The sequence below is a fragment of the Homo sapiens genome, chromosome 6 (assembly GCF_000001405.40).
Source record: "Homo sapiens chromosome 6, GRCh38.p14 Primary Assembly".
NCBI lineage: Eukaryota > Metazoa > Chordata > Mammalia > Primates > Hominidae > Homo > Homo sapiens.
In genome coordinates, this window is record NC_000006.12 from 30717350 (window position 1) to 30726634 (window position 9285).

Below are 9285 nucleotides of genomic sequence, written 5' to 3' on the forward strand. Positions count from 1 at the left end.
TTTCACAACCGCAGCCAGTCGAGCGGAGGCACACCCAAAGCCCCGCCCCCTTAGAGTTCAAATAGGTGGTGTCTCCCAGGCTGCTGAGATCAGTTAATGAGACGGTAATTGAAGGCCGCCGTGCGCCAACAGAATAATGCACGTCGATTGGGCAGCTCCAAGGGACAACCCACTACCGCTTGCCCGCCCACCACCCACTTCCCGCGCAGTTCCAAACCGCGACCAGAGAGTCTGGCGCCAGCTGCCGGCAACGGATAGAGGGGCTGTGTCATAGACGTCCGACGTGTCTGGTAAGGCCAGAGCGCCTTTCCTCGGTCCTCCTAGACATGGTGTCCGCTGACTCATGAGAAATGAAAGTGGGTTGCGCGTTGCAGTCGTGGCTGGAGGCTGCAGTTTGGAGAACAGCCCGTAGGCGTGGCAGTTCACTCCTGTTGCATTGGAATTTCATTTCCTTTTGATTTGGTTTGTAGTAGAAGTAATATCTTTCTTCCTGGGAATACGTCTCTGACGGACATTTTGAGGTCATTTTCTTAAATCCAAGATCCTAAAGATCTGTAGTCGAACAGAGAAAACTGGTTTGCTCTCTGTCTTAAAGGCTGTCCCCACCTTTCGAGGGGCGAGGGAAGGATCATAAAATCATTTATTTTTATTTTTTAATTAACTAATTTATCTATTTTTTGAGATGGAGTTTTGCTCTTGTTGCCCAGGCTGGAGTGCAATGGCGCGATCTCGACTCACCGCAACCTCTGCCTCCCAGGTTCAAGCGATTCTCCTGCCTCAACCTCCCAAGTAGCTGGGATTACAGGCATGCGCCACCACGCCCAGCTTATTTTTGTATTTTTAGTAGAGACGTGGTTTCTCCATGTTGGTCAGGCTGGTCTCGAACTTCTGACCTCAGGTGATCCGCCCGCCTCGGCCTCTCAAAGTGGTGGGATTACAGGCGTAAACCACCGCATGCGGCCATCTATATTTTATTTTTTGAGACGGACTTTCGCTCTTGTTGCCTAGGCTGGAGTGCAATGGCGCGATCTCGACTCACCGCAACCTCCGCCTTCTGGGTTCAAGCAATTCTCCTGTCTCAGCCTCCCGAGTAGCTGGGATTACAGGCATGCGCTACCACGCCCGGCTAATTTTGTATTTTTAGTAGAGACGGGGTTTCTCCATGTTGGTCAGTCTGGTCTCAAACTCCGGACCTCAGGTGATTCTCCCGCCTGGGCCTCCCAATGTGCTGGGATTACAGGCGTAAGCCACTGCGCCCGGCCTATTTTATCTCACAATAAGACATGAAGAAAATGGTAACTATAACACTTGCATAATTCATAAAGTCCTTTCTGTTGGTTATCTCAATTCTGTGCACAACAGTCAAATAAGCAGATTTTACAAACGAGGAGCTGGAGCCCTGCAAAGTTAAAGGACTTTCCTAGGATCCTACAGCTAATATAGAGACAAATTGAAACAAGTTATCTGATTGTGTATTTTGAGTTATTTCTACTCCCACAAAATGACTGTGTTCATTTCCCTAAAACGTAAAGCATTATATTTTAAGTGGGTAGAGAGGGCTTACACAAGTTGATGTTCCCTCATTTAGAAGGCAACTTAGAAATACATTGATCTGCCCAGCGCGGTGGCTCACGCCTGTAATCCCAGCACTTTGGGAGGCAAAGGCGGGCGAATCACGAGGTGAGGAGATCGAGACCATCCTGGCTAACACAGTGAAACCCTGTCTCTACTAAAAATACAAAAAAAAAAAAAAGAAATACATTGATCTGTGTGATCGAATGTGAATTAACAATGACGTTGACTTGATACTACATTTCTGAGTGGTTACCACATTTTATTGATTGTATGCTTCTCACCAGACTGCAACATCCTGGAGGACAGGGAGCTAATTCTTAATCATTTTGTAACCATAGCTCCTAATTTGGTGGATACATAGTAACTATCAAATAAGTGAATAATAAATCTATGGGAAGAAGCAGATGGACTCCGTCTTGAACCCACTCAATTTTTCCCCCATCAATTACCCCTCTCTCGTTTTTCAATACTGGGTCTCTTGCAGAGTTGCAGTGGCGGCCACCTGGTCAGTGAAATCAGCGAATTGAAAAACCACTGACTTCATTAACATGTCTAAAGAGGCAGGCTGAAAAAACTGAAAATCTATCAGGCATCTCATTCCATAGTTCCCTGTTTGACAAGAAGACCAAGGTGTCTTCAAAGTCTGCCCTAAGGTCCAGATCTCCTACCCACGTAGGAGACTTCTAGTTTCACAAATCCCCGATGTCGGTTTCTCTAAACTATTTTATTCTTTGAACATACTCTCCAGACAACATCGCTATCCTGAAAAGCCCTTGCTGCAATTTTGTTTCTCTTTCAAAACAATGGCTCGAAAATTTCCAAGGAAATAGCAAGAGGGCGATTCCCTTCTTGAAGTATTTGAGGGAGCAGAAGCTTACTGAAGTTCATGCCTTGGGTCACCAAAGGCCAGGGGAGGCAGAGCACGGTGCCAGACTTCTCCCCATTTTTCGCTGAACTAAGCAATCCTTTCTCCCCTAGAGGTACTGCAGCTGGGAGCTTTCAGGGCGTGTCTTCCCCACCACCCAACTTCTGGAACCCCAGACTTCTCAATTCCTGTACCCCCAAGAACTGCTCACTTTTTGTACAAAAACCTCAGGCATAGAGGAAAGGAATCTTGCGCAAGGTCGTTTTTCATTTACAAAACAAAAACCCCATGAAAACCAAACCGGTACCCACCCATTCGTCACTTCATTTTGCAGCATGGACAACAATAGGGGACTACAACTCCCAAAGAGGACTGCGCTCGTCCACTGGCTCAGAGGCCAATGGACGCCTGGTACATGACCGGCATCGACTAATCAGGGCCAGGCTCGATGAGGCTTTGTCTCCCTACCGCGCGCGGGGCCGATTCTCCCGCCTCCCAGCCCCGGCGCACGCGCGCCCCGCCCAGCCTGCTTTCCCTCCGCGCCCTCCCCTCTCCTTTCTCCCTCTCAGAACCTTCCTGCCGTCGCGTTTGCACCTCGCTGCTCCAGCCTCTGGGGCGCATTCCAACCTTCCAGCCTGCGACCTGCGGAGAAAAAAAATTACTTATTTTCTTGCCCCATACATACCTTGAGGCGAGCAAAAAAATTAAATTTTAACCATGAGGGAAATCGTGCACATCCAGGCTGGTCAGTGTGGCAACCAGATCGGTGCCAAGGTAAGAATTTTACACCTCTTTTATTTCTTTTTACAAGGAAAAATCCAGGTAAGTTATGAAAAAATGGTTGTGGGGCATTTGCACCCGCTATCCTTAATCAAGATTTGCCCCTCTCAAGTTTGTTACATTTATATATATAACAATTGTAGCTAGCATTTGCCTTTGGAAAGCTGGGAATCATTTTTCTTGGCAGGCACATTTTGGAGAAACTAGTAAAAGGGCTCTTCGGGTTTGGGGGCGGGAAGACCGAGGACTTATAAGATGTTACTTAAAAGGGCTTCTAACGGTCCGAGAACCGGGCAGGGAGAGAGATGCGGAAACGGTCGCAGACAAAGCGGGGCGAGGTTTTGCCCATGTGCATCCCGCCCAACCCCCCTGCGGGGTACTTAGGGCCAAACCGGAGCGGGAAGGGGTGAGGCCATCGGGCGGCTGCAGAGAGCTCCAGCGCAAGGGTGGGGGGCGATGCGCCAGGGTGGGCTGCGCTGGGCGCTACCTTTCACAAAAGACCAGGGACCCCAACGCGCCCGCGACCCCAGAGGGCCGGTCCTGTATTTGTTCCTGGGTGGAAGGAGAATAAGAACGGGATTAATTTTACTTGCTTTCATGGCCCCTAAGAGAGACTTTTTTAGGGCGTGAACAGATATGTCGAGAAAATGGGGGTGTGTGGTTTTCTTTAATGAGTCCCTCAGGACTTAATGGGAGAGAAAGAATCCTTTAAATCAAGGGGTAGAAATGTAGCGAAGGAATAAAAATTCCGAGGCCAAGGGGGATTTTTTTTTTTTGCGCGCGGTTACAGTGTAGCGGGGGAGGGGCGGGAGGAAGTGCGGCTGCTACGTTGTAGCAGAAGGGCGGGGCCCTGCGGGGCGGGGCCGGGGCGCCGTGGGCGCGCGGGGACAATGCGGCGTTGCCCGCCGGCAGGGGCGCGCTACCTTGGGCCCCGCCCCTCGCGCGCGGAATTTTTGTCCCTGGCCCCGCCCACGCGCGAAGTCTTTTGTCGGCGGCTCGACCTGCGCGTGCGCCGCAGTCACGTGGAGGGCGGGGGGGGTGGTCGACTGCGGCGGCAGCTCTTTCCTCAGACCCCCAGCCTTTTGTGCGCCGCGCGGTGGGGCGGTGCCCAGCTTGGGGGAAGGAGAGCGGCGCTTATCGAAGTGTGGTCGACCTCCATCCGCCCACCGAGCACTTGGGACCCGCTGCACATATCCAGAGCAGGGAAAGCTGTGGCTTTCTCGGGGGAGCGAGTGTCTAGGGGAAGGGTGTGGCAGGCCCACGGGATGCCATGCCCTAGAACAACGGCCTGAGCGCTTGTGGAATTAAAATGGGAGATGTGGGGCCGAGGTGGGCGAATTGGGATCCCTCCAGGTCAGGGGTTCGAGACCATCCTGGGCAACAAAGCGAGACCCTCCCCCATGCCACGTTTCTACAAAAAATAAAAGTAAAAAATTAGCTGGGCGTGGTGGCGCGCGTCTGTGGTCCCAGCTACTCGAGAGGCTGAGATGGGAGGATCGGTTGAGCCTGGGAGTTCCACGCTGTAGTCATCCGTGATTGCACCACTGCACTGCAGGCTGGGCAACAGGAAGACCCTGTCTTAAAAATTAGAAGAAGCTGGGCGCGGTGGCTCACCCTTGTAATCCCAGCACTTTGGGAGGCCAAGGTGGGCGGATCACGAGGTCAAGAGATCTAGACCATCCTGGCCAACATGGTGAAACCCGTCTCTACTAAAAATACAAAAAGTAGCTGGGCGTGTTGGTGCGCGCCTATAGTCCCAGCTACTCCGGGGGCTGAGGCAGGAGAATCGCTTGAACCCGGGAAGCAGAGGTTGCAGTGAGCCGAGATAGCGCCACTGCACTCCAGCCTGGTGACAGAGCGAGACTCCGTCTCAAAAAAAATTAAGAAAAAGATGAAATAAAATGGTAGTTGGGGACATAGTTGGCTGGGACTTGACCTGTTGTGGTCTCGTTGCTCCCCCTCGGCAGTTCTGGGAGGTGATCAGTGATGAACATGGCATCGACCCCACCGGCACCTACCACGGGGACAGCGACCTGCAGCTGGACCGCATCTCTGTGTACTACAATGAAGCCACAGGTAAGGGCAGGAGCCCGGGCAGCTCAGGTTCCCTTCCCTGTCTCCCACTTATCTGGGATCTCTTTCCATTTCTGGGCACGCCTTATCCCCTTTGGGTGAATCTGTCATTTTGTCCCTTTCGTGAACCACCGTCGGGGCCAAAGACGTCTGCTGCCACCTGGTGGCGGGACCTGGAATGACAAGTCTCTGATCCCTGCTGTCTCCCATTTCCAGTATATCTATAAACCTTCCCTTCTGCCAGATTTCACAGCTCTTAACTTTATTCTCTGTAGGTGGCAAATATGTTCCTCGTGCCATCCTGGTGGATCTAGAACCTGGGACCATGGACTCTGTTCGCTCAGGTCCTTTTGGCCAGATCTTTAGACCAGACAACTTTGTATTTGGTGAGTTATACAGATGATATTAGCAGATGATATACCATCGTGTTCAACTTATTTGGGTGCAAGGACACAGCAAAAGTTAGGAGATGATTGTTGTATTGGAGTGCTAATACAGAAATGTGTTCTGAAATCTAACGGAGGGTAGAGGTAGTGCCTACTATTGCTGGTAAATTATGGGGCAGTAGGGGGAGAATATATCACAGTGAAGGAGAAAGAAGATACATCCGAGGGAATTATTTGAAAAGTTGAAAGATGGAAACATCATGTATCTTCCATACCCTGTTAATTGAGCTTTTCTCCTGACTGCATTCCAGGTCAGTCTGGGGCAGGTAACAACTGGGCCAAAGGCCACTACACAGAGGGCGCCGAGCTGGTTGATTCTGTCCTGGATGTGGTACGGAAGGAGGCAGAGAGCTGTGACTGCCTGCAGGGCTTCCAGCTGACCCACTCACTGGGCGGGGGCACAGGCTCTGGAATGGGCACTCTCCTTATCAGCAAGATCCGAGAAGAATACCCTGATCGCATCATGAATACCTTCAGTGTGGTGCCTTCACCCAAAGTGTCTGACACCGTGGTCGAGCCCTACAATGCCACCCTCTCCGTCCATCAGTTGGTAGAGAATACTGATGAGACCTATTGCATTGACAACGAGGCCCTCTATGATATCTGCTTCCGCACTCTGAAGCTGACCACACCAACCTACGGGGATCTGAACCACCTTGTCTCAGCCACCATGAGTGGTGTCACCACCTGCCTCCGTTTCCCTGGCCAGCTCAATGCTGACCTCCGCAAGTTGGCAGTCAACATGGTCCCCTTCCCACGTCTCCATTTCTTTATGCCTGGCTTTGCCCCTCTCACCAGCCGTGGAAGCCAGCAGTATCGAGCTCTCACAGTGCCGGAACTCACCCAGCAGGTCTTCGATGCCAAGAACATGATGGCTGCCTGTGACCCCCGCCACGGCCGATACCTCACCGTGGCTGCTGTCTTCCGTGGTCGGATGTCCATGAAGGAGGTCGATGAGCAGATGCTTAACGTGCAGAACAAGAACAGCAGCTACTTTGTGGAATGGATCCCCAACAATGTCAAGACAGCCGTCTGTGACATCCCACCTCGTGGCCTCAAGATGGCAGTCACCTTCATTGGCAATAGCACAGCCATCCAGGAGCTCTTCAAGCGCATCTCGGAGCAGTTCACTGCCATGTTCCGCCGGAAGGCCTTCCTCCACTGGTACACAGGCGAGGGCATGGACGAGATGGAGTTCACCGAGGCTGAGAGCAACATGAACGACCTCGTCTCTGAGTATCAGCAGTACCAGGATGCCACCGCAGAAGAGGAGGAGGATTTCGGTGAGGAGGCCGAAGAGGAGGCCTAAGGCAGAGCCCCCATCACCTCAGGCTTCTCAGTTCCCTTAGCCGTCTTACTCAACTGCCCCTTTCCTCTCCCTCAGAATTTGTGTTTGCTGCCTCTATCTTGTTTTTTGTTTTTTCTTCTGGGGGGGGTCTAGAACAGTGCCTGGCACATAGTAGGCGCTCAATAAATACTTGTTTGTTGAATGTCTCCTCTCTCTTTCCACTCTGGGAAACCTAGGTTTCTGCCATTCTGGGTGACCCTGTATTTCTTTCTGGTGCCCATTCCATTTGTCCAGTTAATACTTCCTCTTAAAAATCTCCAAGAAGCTGGGTCTCCAGATCCCATTTAGAACCAACCAGGTGCTGAAAACACATGTAGATAATGGCCATCATCCTAAGCCCAAAGTAGAAAATGGTAGAAGGTAGTGGGTAGAAGTCACTATATAAGGAAGGGGATGGGATTTTCCATTCTAAAAGTTTTGGAGAGGGAAATCCAGGCTATTAAAGTCACTAAATTTCTAAGTATGTCCATTTCCCATCTCAGCTTCAAGGGAGGTGTCAGCAGTATTATCTCCACTTTCAATCTCCCTCCAAGCTCTACTCTGGAGGAGTCTGTCCCACTCTGTCAAGTGGAATCCTTCCCTTTCCAACTCTACCTCCCTCACTCAGCTCCTTTCCCCTGATCAGAGAAAGGGATCAAGGGGGTTGGGAGGGGGGAAAGAGACCAGCCTTGGTCCCTAAGCCTCCAGAAACGTCTTCTTAATCCCCACCTTTTCTTACTCCCAAAAAAGAATGAACACCCCTGACTCTGGAGTGGTGTATACTGCCACATCAGTGTTTGAGTCAGTCCCCAGAGGAGAGGGGAACCCTCCTCCATCTTTTTTGCAACATCTCATTTCTTCCTTTTGCTGTTGCTTCCCCCCTCACACACTTGGTTTTGTTCTATCCTACATTTGAGATTTCTATTTTATGTTGAACTTGCTGCTTTTTTTCATATTGAAAAGATGACATCGCCCCAAGAGCCAAAAATAAATGGGAATTGAAAAAAGCTGCGAGATGTGTGCTTATTTAGGGAAACACGGCTGGCTGATGGAGGCATGGGGCCTGAGTTCAGTTGCACTGCTCTCCTTAAATTGACACTTAATATTGAGTCCCTGTCCTACGGATTCAACCAACTGGATATTGGGAAAAGAGTTGTACTGGACATGTATAGACTTCTCATTATTCCCTAAACAATAATAGTATAAATTATTTACATAATATTTGCATTAGATTAGGTATTACAAGTAACGTAGAGATGATTTGAAGTACACAGGTTATATGCAAGTACTACATTTTATATGAGGGACTTGGGTGTCTGCCGATTTGGTATCTCAGGGAGGTACTGGTAAGGACACTGACTGCTTTATAGACCCTCACATCATTGTTTCTGGTACCCAAACTGCTCTGAGCACCAGTCAGTCTTTACTGTAGTCTCTGACAGCTCACTACAGCCTTGATGTCCTGGGCTCAAACAATCCATCTCATTCTCCCAAGCAGCTGGGACTGTAGGCATAAGCCAGGTGAGCCAGTGCACCAGGCCCACCAATGAGTCTTAACTGGGGAAGGCATAGGCTTAGATGCAGGATCCAGGGATGGAAAATGGAAGCTGAGAAGAATGACAAATCACGTGTAACTGGTTTCCAGACCAGCATCCACATCCTCTGGGAACTTGCAGAAATAAATGCAAGTTTTTCATCCCACCCAGATGTACTGAACCATAAATGGTTGAACTGGCCTTGGCCACCCAGCCCAGGATTCCTTTGGGTTATGTGTACCCATGGCCATTTCCTGTGATCCTGTGGGCTTAGTCAACCTATGACACCAAGATAACTAGTGAAGCCCTGGTATGGTGGCTCCCACTTGTAATCCCAGCACTCTGGGGGGCCGAGGCAGGAGGATGGCTTGAGCCCAGGAGTTCCACACCAGCCTGGGCAGCAGTGAACCATCTAACAAAAAAAAAAGCTGGGCATGGTGGTGCATGCCTGTAGTCCCAGCTGCTGGGGTAGAGGGGGGTGGTGGTTGTTGGGGGTAGGGGGGTGGGGATTGGATGGGAGGATTGCCTGAGCCTGGGAGGTAGAGGCTGCAATGAGCCCTGACCCTACCCCTGCACCCCAGCCTGGGTGACAGAGCAAGACCTTGTCTTTTTTTTTCTTTTTTCTTGAGATGGAGTCTTGCTATGTTGCCCAGGTTGGAGCACATTGGCGCGATCTTGGCTCGC

General features: G+C 50.6%; 1 protein-coding gene across 7 annotated transcripts, besides 2 other annotated features; it reads left to right on the forward strand.

Annotated features, from left to right (window-relative positions):
- Positions 77-824: an enhancer, noted in NCBI's record as "H3K27ac-H3K4me1 hESC enhancer chr6:30685203-30685950 (GRCh37/hg19 assembly coordinates)". NCBI's record gives its function as "activates a minimal SCP1, AML or CMV promoter by ChIP-STARR-seq in naive and primed H9 embryonic stem cells {active_cell/tissue: H9 hESC(naive and primed)}" and the evidence as "EXISTENCE:reporter gene assay evidence [ECO:0000049][PMID:30033119]".
- Positions 2629-3527: an enhancer, noted in NCBI's record as "H3K27ac hESC enhancer chr6:30687755-30688653 (GRCh37/hg19 assembly coordinates)". NCBI's record gives its function as "activates a minimal SCP1, AML or CMV promoter by ChIP-STARR-seq in naive and primed H9 embryonic stem cells {active_cell/tissue: H9 hESC(naive and primed)}" and the evidence as "EXISTENCE:reporter gene assay evidence [ECO:0000049][PMID:30033119]".
- On the forward strand, positions 3003-8073 carry TUBB (tubulin beta class I). Of its 7 annotated transcripts, NM_001293213.2 has the most exons (5): positions 3003-3214; positions 5188-5296; positions 5569-5679; positions 5991-6082; positions 6689-8073. In NM_001293213.2, exons 1-5 carry the CDS (start codon positions 3158-3160, stop codon positions 7046-7048), a joined length of 729 nt encoding a protein of 242 aa, NP_001280142.1. In that variant the 5' UTR covers positions 3003-3157; the 3' UTR covers positions 7049-8073. The 7 variants fall into 7 exon arrangements, 6 of the variants coding, with proteins under 6 accessions (NP_001280142.1, NP_821133.1, NP_001280143.1 ...); NR_120608.2 differs by lacking the exon at positions 5991-6082 and having other exon boundaries at positions 6590-8073; NM_178014.4 differs by having other exon boundaries at positions 5991-8073.